The sequence below is a fragment of the Homo sapiens genome, chromosome 10 (genome assembly GCF_000001405.40).
Source record: "Homo sapiens chromosome 10, GRCh38.p14 Primary Assembly".
NCBI classification, from domain to species: domain Eukaryota; kingdom Metazoa; phylum Chordata; class Mammalia; order Primates; family Hominidae; genus Homo; species Homo sapiens.
This window is the reverse complement of record NC_000010.11, coordinates 102,023,230-102,047,245: the sequence shown is the minus strand read 5'-3', so window position 1 is coordinate 102,047,245 and position 24,016 is coordinate 102,023,230. Positions and strand designations below refer to the sequence as shown.

At 43.4% G+C, this 24,016-nt stretch overlaps 1 protein-coding gene across 19 annotated transcripts in view, besides 1 other annotated feature; it reads left to right on the top strand.

Annotated features, from left to right (window-relative positions):
- ARMH3 (armadillo like helical domain containing 3) overlaps nucleotides 1-24,016 on the top strand; it is a 210,575-nt gene that overhangs the window by 8,928 nt on the left and 177,631 nt on the right. For 17 of the 19 annotated variants that reach the window (XR_001747199.2, XR_007061987.1, XR_007061988.1 and 14 more), the window contains exons 2-8: nucleotides 7,121-7,233; nucleotides 13,907-13,963; nucleotides 14,074-14,220; nucleotides 17,501-17,608; nucleotides 21,998-22,090; nucleotides 23,497-23,571; nucleotides 23,683-23,769. Coding sequence is in view for 16 of the 19 variants with exons in the window: in XM_011540154.3 (XP_011538456.1) it covers nucleotides 7,132-7,233; nucleotides 13,907-13,963; nucleotides 14,074-14,220; nucleotides 17,501-17,608; nucleotides 21,998-22,090; nucleotides 23,497-23,571; nucleotides 23,683-23,769 (669 nt within the window). In the remaining 3 variants the exon portion in view is untranslated. The remainder of the gene's footprint in view (nucleotides 1-7,120; nucleotides 7,234-13,906; nucleotides 13,964-14,073; nucleotides 14,221-17,500; nucleotides 17,609-21,997; nucleotides 22,091-23,496; nucleotides 23,572-23,682; nucleotides 23,770-24,016) is intronic. The other 2 variants (XM_047425735.1, XM_011540157.3) reach the window with 1 other exon arrangement.
- Nucleotides 11,108-11,915: an enhancer, noted in NCBI's record as "H3K27ac-H3K4me1 hESC enhancer chr10:103795088-103795895 (GRCh37/hg19 assembly coordinates)". NCBI's record gives its function as "activates a minimal SCP1, AML or CMV promoter by ChIP-STARR-seq in naive H9 embryonic stem cells {active_cell/tissue: H9 hESC(naive)}" and the evidence as "EXISTENCE:reporter gene assay evidence [ECO:0000049][PMID:30033119]".

The following is a 24,016-nucleotide window of genomic DNA, read 5'->3' as shown; positions in this document are numbered from 1 at the left end:
ATTAAAATAGTGAAAAAAAATTAAAAATCCTCAAAGATAGTGGGAGAGTTTAAAAAAAAATCAATTAAATCCTGTAGTGGACATTAGGGTGTTTTATCCTTAAAAAAATTACCATGTTGGATACATCTATCAACTTGACTAGACACTCAGATTCTTCTCCTGTTTTTCCCTCCAAGTTTTCTGCCATTCCTGTGAATTTGTCTATTTCTGTCTGTTTCACTTTACTATTACCTACATTTACAGACAGATGTATCTACATCAGACAATTATCTTTTACTTTCTACCATGGCACCTTCATCCACTGACAAACTAGAGTGGTGGCTACTCAAGATATCTAGACATTTCACAGTTTGTTCATTAAAGCCCATGAGTACATACTCCCCCTTACTCACCTAGAACCTCTTCACAGTTTCTCTGTAGGCCCTCAGCTTTGTTTATGTATAGATGACTCTGCTCCTGCTCATTCCTCTGCCTTTTGAGATACAGTATAGCATAGTGGAGAAGAACAGGAACTCTAATATCAGGCTGCCTGGGTTTGAGTCCCTACACTCACTTATCTGTACAAGTTTATTTTCTTTTCAATTTTTCTTTTTTTGAAATGGAGTTTCATTCGTTGCCCAGGCTGGAGTGCAGTGGTGCAATCTCGGCTCACTGCAACCTCCGCCTCCTCGGTTCAAGCGATTCTTCTGTCTCAGCCTCTCGAGTAGCTGAGATTACAGGCATGTGCTACCATGCCCGGCTAATTTTGTATTTTTAGTAGAGATGGGGTTTCTCCATGTTGGTCAGGCTGGTCTCAAACTCCTGACCTCAGGTGATCTGCCCGCCTCGGCCTCCAAAGTGCTGGGATTACAGGCATGAGCCACCAGTCTGGCCCATCTTTTCTTTTCTTTTTCTTTTTTTTTTCTTTTTCTCTTTTCTCTTTCTCTCTCTTTTCTCTCTTTCTCTCTTTCTTTCTCTCTCTCCCTCTCTTTCTCTCTTTTTCTCTCTTTCTTTTCCAGTTCATGCTTTAGTTTTCTCATTGTAAACTTTCTGGATCATAGGGTTGATATGAGGATAAAATGAATTAATATATATAAAGTGCTTAGAACAGTGCCTGGTACATAATAAGAGCTAAATAGACTCTGGTTGTTATTTTATTTTTATTTTTTTTGAAATGGAGTTTAACTGTTGTTGCCCAGGCTGGAGTGCAATGGTGCGATCTCGTCTCACTGTAACCTCCTCCACCTGACTTCAAGCGATTCTCCTGCCTCAGCCTCCTGAGTAGCTGGGATTACAGGAATGCGCCACCATGCCCGTCTAATTTTTGTATTTTTAGTAGAGATGGGGTTTCTCCATGTTGGTTAGGCTGGTCTCGAACTCCCAACCTCAAGTGATCCACCTACCTCGGCCTCCCAAAGTGCTGGGATTACAGGTGTGAGCCACCGCGCCTGGCCCTCATTCAATATTTTCTATGTAACTTACTCACATTGCTTCATGTATCAGTAATAGGCTCTTGTAAATTTCTATGTGGTATTCTATTGTATGACTGTATCATAATTGTCCCATTTACTGCTGATGGATATTTGGATTCTTCTTATATATTAAAAAAATTCACAAACACAAAAGACCCACTTTAATAAACTTTACAAAAACATTTCAGAAAAGGAATGTTTATGCTCTGTTTAGGCACGGTGGCATTTCTGTTTCCTGAACACGCCAAGTGCATTCAAATCTTGAGGTCTTTGCACTTGACATTCCATCTCGAACAATTTTCTCAAGATTTTTACTTGCCTGGTTTCTTCCTGTTATTCCAGATCTTAGCCCAAGTGCCATTTCCTCAAAGAGGCCTACTTTAATCTCTCAGTTGAGAGTAGTCCCCTTTGCAATTTGTCTTCAGGGCCCTTATCACTGTCTCAGTTTATCTTATTTGTTGTCTGTTTCCCTTCTACTGGAATGAAAATTCTGTGAGAGCAGGGATCTTTTCTGTCATGTTTACTGCTGTGTTCCCAGTGCTTGTGCCCAAAAGGTACTCAAAAAAAATTTGTCGAATGAATGAGTGAATAAATGTCGGATCTGTACATATTTTTCCCCCTAAACTATTTACTTTTGTTTCGCTCTTTTTTTTTTTTTTTTTTTTGAGACAAGGGCTGGCTCTGTTGCTCAGGCTGGATGCAGTGATGTTAGCTCACTGCAACCTTTGCCTCCTGGGCTCAAGACATCCTCCTGTTTCAGCGTCCCGAGTATCTGGGATTACAGGCTCCCGCCATCACGCCTGTCTAATTTTCATATTTTTAGTAGAGACGGGGTTTTGCCATGTTGCCCAGGCTGTTCTCGAACTCCTGAGCTCATGTGATCTGCCCGCCTCGGCTTCCTAAAGTGCTGGGATTACAGGTGTGAGCCACCACGCCTGGTGTGCACATTTACTTTTATTCATTTTCCTTCTTTCCCCTTCCTTTTTTCTTTTCTTCTCTTCTTTTCCTTCTATACTGGTTGAAGTATTTTAGGATGTTTACCTTAGCATCTAGCTATAACATTGTTTTTGTTTGCCTCAATGTGAAGAGAGGGTGATACTTGGTGACAGTCCATTACAAATGTGAACCTAAGGCTGGGTGCAGTGGCTCACGCCTGCAATTCTAGCACTTTGGGAGGCTGAGGCAGGTGGATTGCTTGAGTTTGAGACCAGCCAGGGCAACATGGCAAAATCCTGTTTCTATAAAAAATACAAAAAATTAGCTGGGTGTGGTGGCGCGCACCTATAGTTCTAGCTACTTGGGAGGCTGAAGCGAGAGGATGGCTTGAGCCCAGGAGGTGGAGGTTGCAGTAAGCTGAGATCATGTCACTGCATCCAGCCTGGACAACAGAGCCAGACTCTGTCTCAAAAAAAAAAAAAAAGGCCGGGCATGGTGGCTCATGCCTGTAATCCCAGCACTTTGGGAGGCCAAGGCGGGTGGATCACGAGGTCAGGAGATCGAGACCATCCTGGCTAACATGGTGAAACTCCGTCTCTACTAAAAATACAACAAAATTAGCCAGGTGTCTCAGCTACTGGGGAGGCTGAGGCAGGAGAATGGCGTGAACCCAGGAGGCGGAGCTTGCAGTGAGCTGAGATGGCGCTGCTGCACTCCAGCCTGGGCGACAGAGCGAGACTCCGTCTCCAAAAAAAAAAAAAAAAAAAGAAAAAAATTAGCTGGGTGTGGTGGCACACATCTGTAGTCCCAGCTACTCACAAGGCTGAGGCACAAGAATTACTTAAACCCAGGAGGCGGAGGTTGCAGTGAGCCGAGATTGCACCACTGCACTCCAGCCTGGGTGACAGAGTGAGACTCTGTCTCAAAAAACAAAAAAAAGTTGTATAACTTGTATCTTCCAGAGAGAAGTGACAGCAGCTCACGTGACTAACAGTCTTTCAGGTTTAGGAATAAAAGCCTTCATTGATTTACCATTCAGTTGAGGGGATTTGAAACCATTTGTAAGTTTGATAGTAGGTGAAATTAGTATTGAAAAGTTGCCTGATTCTTTTTTATAATTTGTCTATGTCTTATGTCTGAGACACTGCCTTAAAGCCTAAACTGACATTTCTGTGGGATTACTGTGCCTTTGCTGTATTTGCTTCTTTGCCAGAAGGATTTAAAAGCTTGGATCAACAGGGGTCATAGCATAGTCACAGAATGTTTCTTTCTCTCCTTTATTATCCCATAGCATTTTCTTTGTACTTCTACTCCATTTATTTCTCATGATTTGCTTTGCACTATGGGTTGTTATGTGTCTGTCTGTGCCAGTAGATTATGAGCTCCCAGAGAATCAAGTCTGGAGTTTCCTCTCTTTAATCCTATAGTGCCTAAACTAGGGCTTTAGGTGCTTTTTATATATTTGTGGTATTTCAGTGATGCTGAGAGAATCATTAGATAATAGTCTGGTTCAATCCTCTTGTTTTACTTGTGAGGAAACTGAGAAGCACAGTAACTTGTCCATGTCACCGAGTTGGTTGGGAGACCTGTGTTCTAATCTCAGTTCTGCTGGTTGCTTGTTCCATTATGCCTTGCAATTTCTCAGCTGATGGTGGTTCTCTCCTCTGGGAAGGAGGGGGATGGTTGTGAAATAGGAAAAAAGTGCTTGAGAATGTACAGATTACACTCACATTACTGATCTGCTGCAACTTTCTGCTCTACCAATCAGATATTTTACTTTTTCTTAGAGATGGAGTTTCACTCTTGTTGCCCAGGCTGGAGTGCAGTGGCGCAATCTCGTCTCACCGCAACCTCTACCTCCCAGGTTCAAGCGATTCTCCTGCCTCAGCCTCCTGAGTGGCTGGGATTACAGGCATGAGCCATCATGCCTGGCTAATTTTGTATTTTTAGTAGAGACGGGGTTTCTGCATGTTGGTCAGGCTGATCTCGAACTCCCAACCTCAGGTGATCCGCCCACCTTGGCCTCCCAAAGTGCTGCGATTACAGGCGTGAGCCACTGCACCCGGCCGATATTTTACTTTCAAAATTAGGAGCATAGGCTTAATTTCTGAGACCCAAGGAAAAAGTTTTGTTAGAGTTCTGTAGTTCTCCCAGTCTGCCACCTTAGAAACTCCCTGGGTAGGAGTGCTGGCAGGAGGAGAAGACTTTATGTTGTCATTTTCCAGTCACATTTCAGGCAGCTTGGGTGGTAAATTTCAGTTGCCTGTGATGACAGAGAGTAGTGAGTTGAGGCCTTGGCTGATTTTCCTGCTGCTCCACATGGAAGGAGTAAAATGATGAAAAGAATTTAATTTCTTAGGAAATTTGGTAGTTTGGATTGGAATTGTTTTTCCCTCCTCTCCTATTCCCTTTGCTTATTAGAAAGTATTGATTCTGAAATAGAGAAAGTGAATTTATTAGATTTGGGGTGGACATTGATTAGCTGTAACCCAATTATAAATCCTCAGAAGGGGATATTTGTAAACATGTACTTATCACGTCTAAGAACTTGTGGTTCCCACTCTTCCTGCTAATCAACTGGTTGAAGCTGAGCACAGGCAAGATCCATATCCACTAAGTTTAGAATTGCATTGCTTTTGATTTATTCTAATAGGATTCTCTTGATTTCCAATTTATTTTTCCTGGATAAAGACATCTTCCTCTTGACAACATGTTTAAAAGACATGTTGAATGGAGGCTGTATTTCATGCTTTAAGGAAAAGCCATGATCAATACAATGTAAATTGTCCCAAAGAGTCTTCTCTTTTCGTTATTGTTATTATTTTTTTCATCAGTTTTCTCTGGACCATAACAGAATTTGAGGGCTAAATTAAGCCTCAGTAGAGATATGTCTTAGTAAAATTTTAGGTCAGGCTGGGGACAGTGGCTCATGCCTGTAATCCCAGCACTTTGGGAGGCCGAGGCAGGCGGATCATGAGGTCAGGAGTTTGAGAGCAGCCTGGCCAACATAGTGAAACCCCGTCTCTACTAAAGATACAAAAAATTAGCCAGGCATGGTGGTACACACCTGTAATCCCAGCTACTTGGGAGGCTGAGGCAGGAGAATCACTTGAACCTGGGAGACAGGTTTCAGTAAGCTGAGATCACGCCATTGTACTCCAGCCTGGGTGACAGGGTGAGACTCCATATCAAAAAAAAAAAAAGTCTAAAAATAAAATAAAAATACCTAGTTGGAGAAATTTCCTGTGCTTTAGTGTATGCTCAAAGATGAATCTCCTCTCTTTGCTATATGTGTTAGAGAAGGACAATGTCTAAGATACAATCTTTTGTACTATTGGATACATCTCTTCCTTAAACAAAATTTTGATTTTGATCAGAAAGATAGTGCACATTTTCCAAAAGTCACTGATCAAAATTAGTTCTGCTGTGTCGGTTTTGTCTGGAAGTAAAATCTGGCCTCTCCCTATCTCACATACTTGTCATTGGATGAGATTAAGTTTCATATCTAGAGCGTAGGATTTAAAGGAAAGAGAGGAAATTTGTTAATAATGAAAAGAACCTGGGAGGTGAAGGGAATATGTGTAAATTCGCAGTAAAGACCTGTGGGATTTCGGGTTCTCAATTGAAAAAAAAAATCGAGAATTCCGTGAAGCAAGATGGGAACATTTGGCCATGATTCATGAAACTACTTTTATATAGAATTGAAAAATACCTTGGAGTTTGATCTGCAATAGTGTTTTACCTACATATATATATATATATATATATTATATATATATATATGTACACACAATTAAATTTGAAAGTAGTATATTACTCTATTCAGTTATTTTAAATCGGATTTTTTTGGCCTCTTAGCTGCTATTTTCTGCCTTGGGTCTCTTTCCAGAGGAATTTCTAAAGACAGTCAAGTGCAGTGTGATTTATGAGGCAGTAAAGGCCAAGTACTTTGCAGTGACGAGGACCTACTTACTTTGGGGAAATCAATGAAGCACATCAGTCTGCAGCACACTTCCTGCCTTAATGGTCCTAAGCTCGATCAATATTTGAAATTTAACTTCACCATCAGTCTGTGGGCAGTGTGTGCTTTGCTGCCTTCCTTCCATCAACCTCAAATATATGGCCAGACCTATTACAGATGGAGCGAGTTACACTTTTGTGTTTGGTTTTGGATCTGCTTTAAGCCTTGTCCACTGGCACATTTTAAGAATGTAAAATGTGTTGTGCTGTTGGCCAAGTAATGATTTAAACCTTGACATTACCTAGTCAGGGAGGGGAGTGTTGGACAGATGCACAAGCTCTGTAGCATGGTTGTTTATCAGTTCTTCTTCCTAAACGTTGTCTCATTAAGTGGTACGTCAGTGACTCCAGCACCTTGGAGAGCATTCTGGCACTGACTGGCTTTCTTTTCTTTTCTAAGATTTAATTTTTTTAGAGCTGTTTTTAGGTTCACAGCAAAATTGAAAGGAGAGGGCAGAGATAGCCCATACGTCTGCTTCCTTCACACATGCATTGCCTCCTCTATTGACAACATCCCCCACTAGAGTGGCATTTGTTATAAATGATGAACTTACATTCATATATTGTTACCACCCAAAGTCCACAGTTTACATTAGGATTCACTCTTGGTGTTGTATATTCTATGGGCTTGGACAAATGTATGACATATATCTGCCATTATAGTATCATACTGAGTATTTTCACTATTCTAAAATGTGACTTTCTGTTCACAGATTCTCTAACCATGGCACAGGTAGAGAAACGTGGAGGTTTGCTCCGGAAATCTTCAGCCTCCAAAAAACCACTGAAGGAAAAAGTGGTGCTGATGTATGATGAGATCTTCATGGTAAGGCCTGCGGCCTTGTTGTGTACAGCTTGAGTCTTTAGTTTCTTAGTCCAAGATGAGAAATACCCTTACCTCTGCCTGCTACCTTCAGGTTCCTTGGGGGATGTGGGACAGGGGAGAGAAAGAGGGTTTGAGGGCAAAAATGAAAGCTGTCAGAGTAGAGATTATAATCATGTATTAATTAATATAGGTTGTTATTGTGTTGTCCTTATAGGTTGTTGCCATGAGCCAGGTAAAACAATTGAAAGGAGGGAGGAAGGCTGGGGAAGCTCCTTTTCTGAATATTTTAAAGAAAGACTTGCTCTCCTTATGCTCTAACTTAGGGCTATCTTATCCTAGATGTCTCATGAAGTTTCTTTTGGACCTAGAATTCTATAATTCAGATACTTTTAAAGGATACATTATTATATTCCATCTCAAGTTGTTGGTGAAGGAAATAATTACTTAGGACTATCTCATTCTCCAACTATAGGGGATAACTGAGGAATTATTAGTAATTGGGTGGGGGATTTCTTTGGGTCTTCAGAACTGATTGGTCCAAGCCTATATTGTAAAATATACCCTATCAGGGGCTGGGCGCGGTGGCTCCCGCCTGTAATCCCAGCACTTTGGGAGGGTGAGGTGGGTGGATCACAAGGTCAAGAGTTCGAGACCAGCCTGACCAACATGGTGAAACCCCGTTTCTACTAAAAATACAAAACTTAGCCGGGCATGGTGGTGCGCTCCTGTAATCTCAGCTATTCGGGAGGCTGAGGCACAAGAATCACTTGAACCCGGGAGGCAGAGGTTGCAGTGAGCCGAGATTGTGCCACTACACTCCAGCCTGGGCAACAGAGTAAGACCCTATCTCAAAAAAAAAAAATACACTATCAAGGAAGATTAATTAGATATGCTGCAGGGGTACTTGCCTTCTGAAATTCTGGTCATAAGTAGTACGCATAAAGTAGAATAATACTTACAAAAAGAATTACTGGCTGGGTGTAGTGGCCCATGCCTGTAATCCTAGCACTTTGGGAGGCTGAGTGGGTGGATCTCTTGAGCCCAGGAGTTCAAGACCAGCCTGGGCAACATGGCAAAACCTCATCTCTACAAAAAAAATACAAAAATTATCCAGGTGTGGTGGCGTGTGCATGTAGTCCCAGCTACTTGGGAGGCTGAAGTGGGAGGATTGCTTAAGCCCAGGAGGTCAAGGCTGCAGTGAACTGTGATCATGCCACTGCATTCTAGCTTGGGCAAGAGTGAGACCCTATCTCAAAAAAAAGAAAAAAAAAAAAGACCATATATTGGGTTTCTATTATGTGCCTGGAGCATTCTAAATGTATCACTAAATATAGAGGAGTTCTAATTCTGACAGGAATTCTGTGAGGGCACTGGTAGTATCCTCATTTAACAGATGAAGTAATTTGAGATCTCTGCTGGAAGGTGATGGAGCTGTGATTTGAACCCTGGTGCCTGATTCCAAAGCCATGGCTAAGAATAAATAATTCAGTCCACTAAAATACCTAACTTTGGCAAGCCTTGGAAACAGAGTGCAGAAGATTAATACAGATTGCCCAGGCCAGTACAAGCAGCTATACAGAGAAAATAAGTAGGTGCTAGGATCCTATTAGGATTCTTTTGGCTGGGCGTGGTGGCTCATGCCTGTAATCTCAGCACTTTGGGAGGCCGAGGTGGGCGGATCACGAGGTCAGGAGATCGAGACCTTCCTGGCTAACATGGCGAAACCCTGTCTCTACTAAAAATACAAAAAATTAGCTGAGCATGGTGGTGGGCGCCTGTAGTCCCAGCTACTTGGGAGGCTGAGGTAGGAGAATGGCATGAACCAGGGAGGTGGAGCTTGCAGTGAGCTGAGATCGCGCCACTGCACTCCAGCCTGGGCGACAGAGCGAGACTCCATCTCAAAAAAAAAAAAAAAAAAAAAAAGGATTCTTTCTTTTTTACGCAAGCTTGGTGTATACAACTCCTGCTTGAGTGAGCTTTGGGGATGGGAAGTGCCAGTTCCATGAATTCCCTCCGTTTCATTTGTAGACAATACAGTGATATTACAGAAGTGTGAGGGTCAAACTGTGACCTCTGCTTGGGAGCAGGACTTGAGAGAAAGTGATAGATAGAATCCATTAAGTGGCTGGGTGTGGTAGCTCACACCTGTAATCCCAGCTACCCTGGGAGGCTGAGGTGCATGGATTGCTTGCGGCCAGAAGTTTGAGACCATCTCGGGCAACATATCGAGACTCCCCTCTCTAATAACAAAATTAAGTGGGTGTAGTGGTATGTATCTGTAGTCCCAGGTAGTACCAGCTACTCCTAGCTACTATAGGAGGCTGAGGTGGGAGGATCCCTTGAGCCTAGGAGTTCAAGGCAGCAGCTAGCTATAATTGCACCATTGCATCCAGCCTGGGTGACAGAGTGAGAACTTGTCTCTAAAATAAGTAAATAAATAAAATAAATAATTAATTTAAAAATGAGGACGTTGTGAGAAGGCCAGAGATGTTGCTTCTTTATGCCATTCTCCATTAAAAATCCAGAAGAGGCTAGGTGTGGTGGCTCACGCCTGTAATCCCAGCAGTTTGTGAGGCCAAGGGGGGCAGATCACATGAGGTCAGATGTTTGAGACCAGCCTGACCAAGGTAGTAAAACCCCATGTCTACTAAAAATGCAAAAATTAACTGGGCGTGGTGGTGCATGCTTATAATCCCAGCTATTTATGTGAGTCCAAGGCAGGAGAATCGCTTGAACCCGGGAGGCAGAGGTTGCAGTGAGCTGAGATCTTGCCATTGCACTACAGCCTGGGTGACAGAGCAAGAATCCATCTCAAAAAAAAAAAAAAAAGAAAACAAAATCCAGAAGAGATTATTAATATTTTATTAGATCAGGACTTAACTAGTGATGACATTAGTTACTGGTAGTAATTTTATGCTGTTTTATTTTAATTAATCAATTATTTATTTATTTATTTATTTTGAGGTGGTGTCTTGCTCTGTCGCCCAAGCTGGAGTGCAGTGGCGTGATCTCGGCTCACTACAGCCTCCACCTCCTGGGTTCAAGCAATTCTCCTGCCTCAGCCTCCCAAGTAGCTGGGATTATAGGCGCATGCCACCATGCCTGGCTAATTTTTGTTTTGTTTTCTTTCTTTTTTTTTTTTTTTTATTGATCATTCTTGGGTGTTTCTCGGAGAGGGGGATTTGGCAGGGTCATAGGACAATAGTGGAGGGAAGGTCAGCAGATAAACAAGTGAACAAAGGTCTCTGGTTTTCCTAGGCAGAGGACCCTGCAGCCGCAGTGTTTGTGTCCCTGGGTACTTGAGATTAGGGAGTGGTGATGACTCTTAACGAGCCTGCTGCCTTCAAGCATCTGTTTAACAAAGCACATCTTGCACCGCCCTTAATCCATTTAACCCTGAGTGGACACAGCACATGCCCCAGAGAGCACAGGGCTGGGGGCAAGGTCACAGATCAACAGCATCCCAAGGCAGAAGAACCCCTCCCAGTACAGAACAAAATGAAGTCTCCCATGTCTTCTACTTTCTACACAGACACAGCAACAATCTGATTTCTCTAGCTTTTCCCCACCTTTCCCCCTTTTCTATTCCACAAAACCGCCATCGTCATCATGGCCCGTTCTTAATGAGCTGTTGGGTACACCTCCCAGACGGGGTGGTGGCCGGGCAGAGGGGCTCCTCACTTCCCAGAAGGGGCGGCCGGGCAGAGGCGCCCCCCACCTCCTGGACGGGGCGGCGGCCGGGCGGATGTGCCCCCCCATCTCCCTCCCGGACGGGGCGGCTGGCCGGGCGGGGGCTGACCCCCCACTTCCCTCCCGGACGGGGCGGCTGGCCGGGCGGGGGCTGACCCCCCACCTCCCTCCCGGATGGGGCGGCTGGCCGGGCGGGGGCTGCCCCCCACCTCCCTCCCAGACGGGGTGGCTGCCGGGCGGAGGTGCTCCTCACTTCCCAGACGGGGCGGCCGGGCGGAGACGCTCCCCACCTCCCAGTCGGGGTCGCGGCCGGGCAGAGGTGCTCCCCACATCTCAGACGATGGGCGGCTGGGCAGAGACGCTCCTCACTTCCTAGACGGGATGGCCGCTGGGAAGAGGCGCTCCTCACTTCCCAGACTGGGCAGCTGGGCAGAGGGGCTCCTCACATCCCAGAGGATGGGCGGCCATGCGGAGACGCTCCTCACTTCCCAGTCGGGGTGGCGGCCGGGCAGAGGCTGCAATCTCGGCACTTTGGGAGGCCAAGGCAGGCGGCTGGGAGGTGGAGGATGTAGCGAGCCGAGATCACACCACTGCACTCCAGCCTGGGCAACATTGAGCGCTGAGTGAACGAGACTCCGTCTGCAATCCCGGCACCTCGGGAGGCCGAGGCTGGCGGATCACTCGCGGTTAGGAGCTGGAGACCAGCCCGGCCAACACAGCGAAACCCCGTCTCCACCAAAAAAATACGAAAACCAGTCAGGCGTGGCAGCGCGCGCCTGCAATCGCAGGCACTCCGCAGGCTGAGGCAGGAGAATCAGGCAGGGAGGTTGCAGTGAGCCGAGATGGCAGCAGTACAGTCCAGCTTCGGCTCGGCATCAGAGGGAGACTGTGGAAAGAGAGGGAGAGGGAGACCGTGGGGAGAGGGAGAAGGGAGAAGGGAGAGCTTGTTTTCTTTTTTGAGACTGAGTCTCGCTCTGTTGCCCAGGCCGGAGTGTAGTGGCACAATCGTGGCTCACTGCAACCTCCACCTCCCGGGTTCAAGCCATTCTCCTGCCTCAGCCTCCTGAGTAGCTGGGACTACAGGCTCCTTGCACCACACCTGGCTAATTTTTTGTATTTTTTATTTCACTGTGTTAGCCAGGATGGCCTCCATCTCCTGACCTCGTGATCCGGGCGCCTCGGACTCAGCCTGCCAAAGTGCTGGGATTACAGGTGTGAGCCACTGTGCCCAGCTATTTTTGTATTTTCAGTAGAGATGGGGTTTCACCGTGTTCGCCAGGCTGGTCTCAAACTCTTGACCTCAGGTGATCCACCCGCCTCAGCCCTACAAAATGCTGACGTTACAGGTGTGAGCCACTGTGCCTGGCCTATTTACTTATTTATTTTTATTTTTTATTTATTTATTTTTGTTTTTGAGATGGAGTTTTGCTCTTGTTGCCCAGGGTGGAGTGCAATGGCATGATCTCAGCTCTCCGTGACCTCTGCCTCCTGGGTTCAAGCGATTCTCCTGCCTCAGCCTCCCGAGTAGCTGGGATTACAGGCATGGGCCACTGCACCTGGCTGTCTCCTGGTAGTAGTTTTAAAAGGTCAGCTTAAAATAAGGTGGTAGTGGGCTATTGACCTACTTATTTTATGCCATTCCCCTTTCTTTAAAGTAGGGCTTCTCTTTTTTTTCTTTTTTTTTTTTGAGATGGAGTCTCGCTCTGTGGCCCAGGCTGGAGTGCAGCAGTGTGATCTCGGCTCACTGCAAGCTCCGCCTCCCAGGTTCACGCCATTCTCCTGCCTCAGCCTCCCTAGTAGCTGGGACTACAGGTGCCCACCACCACGCCCGGCTAATTTTTTGTATTTTTAGTAGAGATGGGGTGTCACCGTGTTAGCCAGGATGGTCTCGATCTCCTGACCTCGTGATCTGCCCACCTCAGCCTCCCAAAGTGCTAGGATTACAGGCATGGGCCACCGTGCCTGGCCGGGGTTCTCTTTTTCTTGTTTTACCCATTAACCAGCAGCTTCTGACTTCCTAGAATTTGTTTGAACATTATTGCTAGGAAATTTTGGATTTTAGCATGATAATTTTGCTTACTCTTTGGACCAATTTAAATTAAGAAATTTAGAGCACATTAAAAGCTCTGTACAGAATACTAAATGCATATGGAGGGCAAGTAGAAGCAGTCAACACAGCATGCTGTAAAAACCACTGTGGTATTACTGAGGTGATCTGAATTCTGGCTCCTGAACTTGTGTAAGTCACTTAACTTGTGTACTCTCTTTCCTAAAATGGGAGGACGGTGATAATATCTGTCCTTCCTGGCTCACTGGATTGTATTTCACATATGTGAATAGGTTTGAAAACAACACTGTACCAATGCACGGGAGGCATGTTGTGATGTGACTAACTTATTCTGATGTTTATGTTCATTTCTTGCTAGAAGATAAATATTTTAGGGAAGTTCTTTGAGCTATTATTTAACTTTTGGTGCAGAGAATATATATCCATGCACACAGTTTTCCACTTGGGAAAAAAAACACAAAGAGATAAGTGTTCTTTTTCCCCTTCTAGCAGTTTAGAATGACCAAGAATTTTCAAAGTTAATTTTGAAAACTAAGGGGCCGGGTGCGGTGGCTCACGCCTGTAATCCCAGCACTTTGGGAGTCTGAGGCGGGCGGATCATGAGGTCAGGAGATCAAGACCATCCTGGCTAACATGGTGAAACCCTGTCTCTACTGAAAATACAAAAAATTAGCCGGGCGAGGTGGTGGGCGCCTGTAGTCCCAGCTACTCAGGAGGCTGAGGCGGGGGAATGGCGTGAACCCTGGGGGGCGGAGCCTGCAGTGAGCCGAGATCACGCCACTGTACTCCAGCCTGGGCGACAGCGAGATTCCATCTCAAAAAAAAAAAAAGAAAACTAAGGTTGACTATGTATAGTATTCTTAATGCTTTTGGTGTTAGCTGGGAAGGCTGAATGTGCTTATATTCTGGTTTCAGACAGAGGACCCCAGTAAGTGCAGTCCTCGGTTTTGGGAGGAGCTCTTTCTCATGAAGGTAAGAGTTGGTGGCATCTGTGGAATTTCCTGGTAACTAAAATTGCCTTCTCATATATTCTAGGCGCTAAGCTAAAAATGCACTCTGCCCCTTATTTGTTTCCTTGGCAGGTGAATTTAGAGTACCTAGAAGGCAAGCTGGAATCTCTTGATGGTGAGGAGTTAATGAAGATCAAGGACAATATTAATTGCTTATTCCAACACTGCATCCAGGCTCTGGGAGAGGAGCATCCAATTCGGGTTGTCAATGCATTGCAGGTACAAGGCTGGGAGACTGGGGAAGTCTTGTTTAACAGGAGAAAGGAATTGTAACACATCTGTTTGAACTGAGGAACCTAGAGTTGCTCTGAGGTATGAGGTTTTCTTTTTTATTTCTGTAAGTTACCAAATATTTATGCCACGTTTGTTTAGCCATCTTTCTATTTATACAAATTGACACTTAGGAGTAATCGTATCCATTTGTATAATTTGATCTAATGCTAAAGTAGATTCTTAGACAGAATTCTTGTTTTTGCTTGAGAAAGGGAAGAAGTAGAGAGGAAACTGAGGCAAGAATGATTAGTCTTTATCAAAAATCAGAAGACTGCTGGGCACGGTGGTTCACGCCTGTAATCCTAGCACTTTGGGAGGCTGAGGTGGGCAGATCACTTGAGGTCAGGAGTTCGAGACCAGCCTGACCAACATGGTGAAACCCACCTCTACTAAAAATACAAAAATTAGCCGGGCATGGTGGTGGGCACCTGTAATCCCATCTACTCAGGAGGTTGAGGCAGGAGAATTGCTTGAACTCGGGAGGCGGAGGTTGCAGTGAGCCGAGATTGCACCACTGCACCCCAGCCTGGGCAACAGAGCGAGACTCCATCTCAAAAACCAAAGATTTTGAAAGGAATCTGTAATTCAGAAAACATTAAGAAACTGTTCTTTATGTTAGGTGGCATGATCATAAAATTCATTCAACAACTATTCCTTGAATTGTTATGTGCCAGGCATTGGGCTGGATGATAGAGATATACTACAGAGTTCTTGAGGGAAGAGACTTTGAGAGTTTCATTCAGTAGTTTGTTTCCAGTGAGTAGAATACTCCTTGTGCCCAGAGAGCAGTGCATAGCAAATAGTACTCTAGAAGTAAGTTCTTATTGAATGAATGGTGACAAAGTTTCTAAAATTTAGTCTAGTAAGTTTAGTATAGTCTAGATTGAGAGTACTTAGGGCAGTGATTGATAGGTTTAGAATATGAAGAATCCTGGGCTGGGCGCGGTGGCTCATGCCTGTAATCCGAGCACTTTGGGAGGCCAAGGCGGGAGGATCACGAGATCAGGAGATCGAGACCATCCTGGCTAACAGGGGGAAACCCCATCTCTACTAAAAATACAAAAAATTAGCCGGGCGTGGTGGCGCATGCCTGTAATCCCAGCTACTTGGGAGGCTGAGGTGAGAGAATGGTGTGAACTGGGAGACGGAGCTTGCAGTGAGCTGACATGGTGCCACTGCACTCCAGCCTGGGCGACAGAGCGAGACTCCGTCTCAAAAAAAAAAGAATATGAAGAATCCATGATAGGATACATAATTTTATTGGAACTTGTGATAGATTGGGTTTAAGTTTCTAACATACTAGTTAGGCAGATCACTTTGTGAGCCCCAGTTTTCTCATCTGTAGAATGGCAATAATAATTACCTCTTGAGTTGATGTCCCAGAAAGATGGACCATGTTTATTCTATAGCTTTGTTAACTTTTGGCACAATAAGTTCCACCTTTTAAGTTGTAGCATAGGGGCTCAATGAAAGTTGGAAATTGTACTTCCAGTAATTGCAGTGCTCATTGTGTGGGCATGAATTGTAGACTGTTTTATTTCAGTGGAAATAAGTTGACATTAAGCCACTTAGTGACCCATAAAATATTGTACATTGTTATAATAGCTTATACTTACTGAGCTCTAACAGAGTTCCAGGGACTAAGTACTTTACAGTATTATTTCACATAGCCCTCATAATGTTCCTACAAGATGGATGCTATTATTATCATTCCTACTTTATAGATGAGAAAACTGAGCCACTGGAAAGTTAACTAATGTGTGTGTCTGGGTTCTCACAGCTAGTAAGTAGTGGATGAGGATTATGAAGATTTTAAGATTTGAAGCAGTTGGCTATTATATAAGGGACTTAACTGTTATAGTTATTAAAAATAATTATAAAAACTGTTGGCCAGGCGTGGTGGCTCACGCCTGTAATCCCAACACTTTGGGAGGCTGAGGGGGGCAGATCACTGGCAGGAGTTCGATACCAGCCTGGCCAACATGATGAAAACCTGTCTCTATTAAAAAACTACAAAAATTAGCCAGGCGTGGTGGTGCACACCTGTAACTCCAGCTACTAGGAAGACCGAAGCATGGGAATCACTTGAACCCAGGAGGTGGAGGTTGCAGTGAGGCGGGATCACTCACGCCACTGCACTCCAGCCTGGGTGACAGAGTGAGACTCCGTCTCAAACAAAAACAAAAACAAGACAAAACAAAACAAAAAAAACTGTTAAACTGTAATATAAATGCCAAAATTATTATTATTATTATTATTTTTGAGACGGAGTTTCACTCTTGTTGCCCAGGCTGGAGTGCAATGGAGCGATCTCGGCTCACTGCAACATCCGTCTCCTGGGTTCAAGGATTCTCCTGCCTCAGCCTGCTGAATAGCTGGGATTACAGGCATCTGCCTCCACACTTGGCTAATTTTTTGTATTTTTAATAGAGACTGGGTTTCACCATGTTGGCCAAGCTGGTCTCGAACTCCTGACCTCAGGTGATCCACTTGCCTCAGCCTCCCAAAGTGTTGGGATTACAGGCTTGAGCCACTGCGTCCGGCCCCAAAATTAATTTTAAATAAAGGAAAACTCCACCAATCCCATGATTGAACTCAAGAACTATTTTTAATCTTTGAATATCACCTCCCAGTCTGCTTTATAATTTTTAAAAACAAGATGACAAGAAAATAAAAAATGAGGATGACAGCAGTCTCAGTTACTGTTCCTCTTTTATTTGCTGGATTTTGCACATACTGAGACTCAGACTGGGCTGGGCACAGTGGCTCACATTTCTAATTCCAGAACTTTGGGAGGCTGAGGCAGGAGGATCACTGGAGCCCAGGTGTTGGAGACCAGTCTGGGCAACATGGTGAGACCCTGTCTCTACAAAAAATAAAAAAATTAACCAGGTGTGGTGGAGCACACCTGTCATCTCAGCTACTTGGAAGGCTGAGGTGGGAGGATCACCTGAGCCCAGGAGGTCAAGGCTGTAGTGAGCTGTGATTATGCCACTGCACTACAGTCTTGGTGAAGAGCGAGACCTTGTCTCAAAAAAAAAAACAAACAAACAAAAAAACCGAACCAAACGGAAAAAACCAAAAAAACTCAGACTGTGTTTTGGAGCTCAGAACTCAGAGAAATTGAATTTATTCAGTGTCAGCTGTGTAAGGATGAGGCTGCAATGTGGGTCTACAGACCCTGAGACTTCCTCTCCAGAAAGAATTCTTTCTCTCATTTCTGCAGACCCTGTGCGCACTCATTCGAGGAGTCCATCAAAAGAATAAGTCTACCTCTGGGTTTGACATTATCAACATGCTGATGGGCTTTGACAAGGCGGAGCTGTGCATGAAGGTGAGGCATAAGCTGCAGATGTGCCTGTGGATGGCAGCTTCTGACAGCTGTTCCTGGACACTATCAGCAGACAAATGTACTCAAAGATTTGGACTCAGAAAGATACAGATGATTGAATTTGGCCTTGCATTTAGATGTTTTTATTTCACAGATTTGCTTTATCTGAATAAAGGAAAATTTTAAATTCAAATTTGAATGGAGGTATTCTTTCCCTGCGGGATAAAGACAGAATAGTTTATTTTATTACTCGTATCATATGATCATACATTCTTAAGAACATTTATGAATTTAAATAAAATATAACAACATACAAGGGTAACTTTAATTCTAAACTTTAAGCTTATTTAACACAATTACTTTGATTTTATCAGAATTTTTCTTTCTGCTGTTTGACACTATCTTTTTAAAATAACAGCCTTATAATTCATATAGCATAAATCCACCCTTTTAGATTGTACAATCTGACCAGGCGCCATGGCTCATGCCTGTAATCCTAGCGCTTTGGGAGGCCAAGGCAGGCGGATTGCTTGAGCTAAGGAGTTTGAGACCAGCGTGGGCAACATGGCAAAACCTCGTCTCCACAAAAAATACAAAAATTATCTGCGTATGGTGGCACGTGCCTGTAAGTCCCAGCTAGTTGGGGGAGGCTGAAGTGGTAGGACTGCTTGAACCTGGGAGGTGGAGGTTGCAGTGAGCCAAGATCATGCCACTGCACTCCAGGCTGGGCAACAGAGCAAGACCCTGTCTCAAAAAGAAGAAAATAAATAAAGTGTACAATCCAGTGGATTTTAGTATATTCATAGAATTATACAATTATCATCACTATTAATTTCAGAACATTTTCATCACCCTAGAAAGAAAACCTGTACCCATTAGCAGTCATTCCCCAATTCTCCACTCTTCTCAACCCTTGGCAAGCATTAATCTGCTTTATGTCTCTATGGGTTTAGCTGTTCTGGACACCTCATATAAATGGAATCATATCATATGTAGCCTTTTGAGTCTGGCAGTTACTTCACATAATGTTTTTGTGGTTCCTCCATATTATAGGATGTATTAGTATTTCATTCCTTTTTATTGCCTAATAATATTCCTTTGGCTGGAGATACTCACTATATTTTGTTTAGCCATTCCTCAGTTGATAGGTATTTGGGTCCTTTCAACATTTTGGCTATTAGGAATAATGCTGCTATGAATGTTCATGTATAAGTTTCTGTATGGATGTATGCTCGTATTTATTTATTTATTTATTCATGAGATGAGGTCTTGCTATGTTGACCCAGCTGGTCTTGAACTCCTGGCCTCAGGTGATCCTCCTGCCTCAGCCTTCCAAAGTGCTGAGATTATAAGCATGACCCACTGCACTCAGGCCACACATATGTTTTAAATTCTCTTGGGCATATACCTAGGTGTAGAATTGCTGGGTCACATGGTAACTCTATATTTGACATTTTAGGAACTACCAAACCATTTTTCCATAGGGGCTGTTCCATTTTATAATTTCACTAGCAATGTATGAGGGTTCAAGTTTCTGCACATTATGTCAACAGTTGTTTTTGTCTGTCTTTTCTTTATTTTTTTTTTTTGGAGAAAAGTCTTTCATATCCTTTGTCCATTTCTAGATGGGGGTGTCTTTTTTTGTTGAGTTATAAGAGTTCTTTTCGTATTCTGAATATGTCCCTTATCAGATATATGATTTGCAGTGTTGGACACCATATTGAATGAATGTTATTTGAACTTTGAAGAACAGTCTTCTGTCACTCATTAAATTTAAAATAAATCTGTATACCAGAGAATCTTTATAATGATTAGGTTACAAAAAAAGTTATTAATATATAATTATAAATATACAAATATTTAATACTTAGAGTTATTTTTAAATTCTGGCCTTTTGCAGTTCATATATATGTCATGGTAAAATCCCAGATAGCTCCTCATTCTCATAATTCTAACTACTGCTTGTATGTTGATGACTGCTAAGTGTCTGTCTTTAGCCTTAATGTCTCTTCATGATCTCAGAGTTGTATCCTCTGCAAGTACTTGCTGAGTGTACTCACTGACACATCCCATAAGTACTTCTTGCTTGATATATCCAGAATGGAGCTCACTGTTTCTCCTGCATCTCTTCTTCCTCATTCATTCTCTTTCAGAATGGGAGCAGCTGTCTTCACAGGCCCCACGCTGTGATGAGGGGACTTCTCATCTTTTATCTCCAGATGATCACCAAGTTCAGCTAATTTTACCTCAGTTCATATTCCTCATACTTGTCTTCTTCTGTTACCACCATCTCTATTATGCTATCTCTCACCAGAACTATTACAGTGATGCCTTCATTCATTCTTTTTTTTTTTTTTTTTTTGAGACGGAATCTCACTCTGTCACCTAGGCTGGAGTCCAGTGGTGCAATCTCGGCTCACTGCAACCTCCCTGTCCTGGGTTCAAGCGATTCTCCTGCCTCAGCCACCTGAGTAGCTGGGATTACAGGCATGCGCCACCACACTCAGCTAATTTTTGTATTTGTAGTAGAGACAGGGTTTCACCCTGTTGGCCAGGCTGGTCTCGAACTCCTAACCTCAGGTGATCTGCCTGCCTTGGCCTCCCAAAGTGCTGGGATTACAGGCATGAGCCACTGCACCCAGCCCATTCATTCTTTTGACAAATATTTGTTGGGCCCCTATATGCCAGGTACTGTGGTAGGCACTGAGGATACAAGAGGCAAATAAGACATGGCAACTGTCTCAGGAAATTGAAGTCCTCATTAGTCTCCATGCTTACAAGCTTACCATCTTTAAATCCATCATCCACACTGACACCACAACTGTGTGGCATTAGTGTATATATCTTACGCTAGTGTGTACATCTTTCCTGCTTAAAATCCTTCATTAGTCTCCTGTCACTAACAGGATAAAGACCAAACTCCCTAGTTAGACTTATAAAACTTTCAAAATCTGCACCATATTTACTTCCCCAGGCTTATATCTCACCACTGTGCCTCATTCTTTATACTCCCTTAAAAACAAACTACTTTTATTCCAACCCCACACCAGGGCCATTTCTTTCCTTATGTGTCTTTGATGATGCTAATACCTGTCTGGAATTCCTTTCCTCCCCAATTCCTATTGAATTTTCAAAATATAACTCACTCCTGAGGGGTCTTGGAATAGGTGACTTTAGAGCAAATTCCATTCCTCTGTGTATATTTCCATCATAGTAACCACTGAATTGAAACTGTTGGCTTGTTTTTCTCTCCCATAAGACTAAAAGCACCTTGAGAGCAAGGGTCATGGTCTGAGTTTTTTCGTATATTCTTTTAAAGCACAATATTCAGCACAGAGTAGATGCTCACATATTTATTGAATTGAACTGAAGCAGCTTACCTTGGCCTTCCAGCATGCTTAAATCCTTATTCTCCATCTATTCTCCTTCCTCATTTAATGTAGAATATTTCTTTTCATCTTCTCTTTATTGTAGTATACAAGGGTTTCATCTTTTGATTAGTTTGGATTTGTCAGCTGGCTTTTAGTGCAGTGATAAATTCCAATTACATTGCCAAGCGGAGACCAGGATGGACGCAAGTTAGCTTCGTTGGATAGTTTATATGGCTAGTGATAGCCTGTAATGATACTGTTTCTTTTTCATTTATTCAGTGTGCCTGAATCAAGTGTTATGCTTTCTTTACCAAATAACGAAACTTGCCAGGCATAGTGGTTCACACCTGCAGTGCCAACTCTTTGGGAGGCTGAGGATCACTTGAGCCCAGGAGTTCGAGACCACCCTGGGCAACATGGCGAGACCTTGTCTCTATAAAGAAAAAGAAAAAAAAACCTGGGTGTGGTGGCACACATCTGTGGTCCTAGCTATTCAGGAGGCTGAGGTGGGAGGATGACTTGATCCCAGCAGTTTGAGGTTGCAGTGTGCTATGAACATGCCCTGCTTTCCAGCCTGACTGACAGACAGAGTGAGACTCTGTCTCAAAAAGAAAAGAAAAGAAAAGAAAAGAAAAGAAACATATACAATTATTTAACCATTAGGTTTCCCTTTTTTTATTTGCTTCCTTGTAATCTAAACGTTTATATGGGGATGACAGACTGCAAACATTCATTAATTTGGTAGAACAGTGAATTCTTTACTCTCTTGTGCAACTGTTCTAAAGCATTTTTCTCAATATAGCTAGATTTTGAAGTCTTCCTATTTTTCTTTCTTAGCAACCCCAGCCTGAGAAAAAGGTCCTCCTTTTCTTTATTTAATCTTGTAAGTTCTGGGCCTAAGGAAATGATGTTGTTGCTTTATTGTGTGTTATTCACATTACCCTGTATAACATAACCCAGAGTTAGACAAAGGTGGGGTGTTATCTGGTATGGTTTAATGCTTATTGGTTCTCTTTCTCAGAACTTGATGGAGAGTTTGGATTCATTGCTTTGTGCAGAAGGTTCTGAAAGTCTGAAGAGTTTATGTCTGAAACTTCTCCTTTGCTTAGTGACCGTAAGTGACCTATGTTTGTCAAGGGTATTAATTGACAGGAGGGGCAATCCTGTTTGAATACTTGAGCCCAAAGATAGAAGGAAAAAGAGAAGAAATATTCTCAATGAGGGTATTACATCACTCCCTCGTGTCTGGATGTATAGGAAGTTAGCTGCATGGTCTTTTGCTTCCTCTTTGGAGCAATTACTGGCATTTTTGGCCTGCAGGCTATGTGATATTTTACTTTAGAAGTTTCACTTCAGGAGAACAAGTGTCTTCTGGGTTGTCAGACTTGTCCTTATCAGGTCTCATTTGGAAATAGTTTTTGTGATTCTGAGTAATTTTTTTTTTTTTTTTTGAGACAGAGTCTTGCTCCGTCGCCCAGGCTGGAGTGCAATGGCGTGATCTCGGCTCACTTCAACGTCTGCCTCCTGGGTTCAAACAATTCTCCTGCCTCAGCCTCCCAAGTAGCTGGGATTACAGGCATGTGCCACCATGCCCAGATAATTTTTTTTTTTTTGTACTTTTAGTAGAGATGGGGTTTCGCCATGTTGGCCAGCCTGATCTTGAACTCCTGACCTTAGGTGATCCACCCGCTTGAACTCTTGACCTTAGGTGATCCACCTGCCTTGGCCTCCCAAAGTGCTGGGATTACAGGTGTGAGCCACCGCGCCCGGAGGATTCTGAGTATTTTTATTTGTTTTGGCTTTTATTTATTTATTTTTCAAGGTGGAGTCTTGCTCTGTCGCCTAGGCTGGAGAGTGCAATGGCATGATCCTGGCTCACTGCAACCACCATCTCCCGGGTTTGAACAGTTCTCCTGCCTCAGCCTCCCGAGTAGCTGGGATTACAGGCATGTACAACCACGCCTGGCTAATTTTTGTATTTTTAGTAGAGATGGGGTTTCACCATGTTGGCCAGGTTGGTCTTGAACTCCTGACCTTGTGATCCACCCACTTCAGCCTCCCTAAGTGCTGGGATTCCAGGCGTGAGCCACTGCGCTCAGGTAGTTTTGATTTTATAACTGTAGGCTGCCTGTATTTCTAGTGGAAGGAGGGTGGGGTGTTGATTATTTACTTTAGGAGGGTCCCTTTCCCTGCCACCTCTTGAAGACTTCTGCATTCATAAACCTCCTCCTGTGCACTTGAGGAATGAAACCCAAGAAACTGTTAAGCGAATGCATGTGTGAGGATATGAGAGAAACAATGAGGAGTTCAAAGACTTAGGAAGTTTTAACTTGCTGATTTCCTACCCTTATGTTGTCTATTCAGACTCTCATGACTTAAGGGGCACTTGTGAAAGGTCAGCTAAGTTATCTAGTAGAAATATTTTAATATTTTTGTTTCTCTTAGATGTTAGGGGAGGAGATTACACAAGATATCAGAATACCTCAGAACAGACTTTAAAAAGCCTTTTATTACATTCAGGTGACAGATAACATCAGCCAGAACACTATTCTCGAGTATGTAATGATCAACAGCATATTTGAAGCAATTTTACAGGTAGGTCCCTTGTTACCTCCTCTCTTTGGGGTAAACCACCTCTTCAAATTTTCTCTGTGTTCTCAGGAACCAGGAGTTAGCAGTCTCATGCATTTTTGGTTCTTGTTACAGATACTTTCCCATCCCCCAAGTCGTAGGGAGCATGGGTATGATGCTGTCGTCCTCTTGGCTTTGCTGGTGAACTATAGAAAATATGAGGTAACTGGGCTCCTTAGTGGACAGTTGTTATCTGCCTATAATCTTCTTAAATGCGGCCCCTCCTAAAGGACTTTGCTTAATGTAGAAGACGTTCTTGGTAAATGGTATATTGATTAATTTTGATAATCCAGATTCTAAAAATCCTATATTAAATGCATGGGGCAGAGGATCTAGTTGTTTAAAGGAATCCTGTGATGCAACTTCTAATGAAGTGAGTAAGTACGCCCTAATGTAGTGATTCCCATAC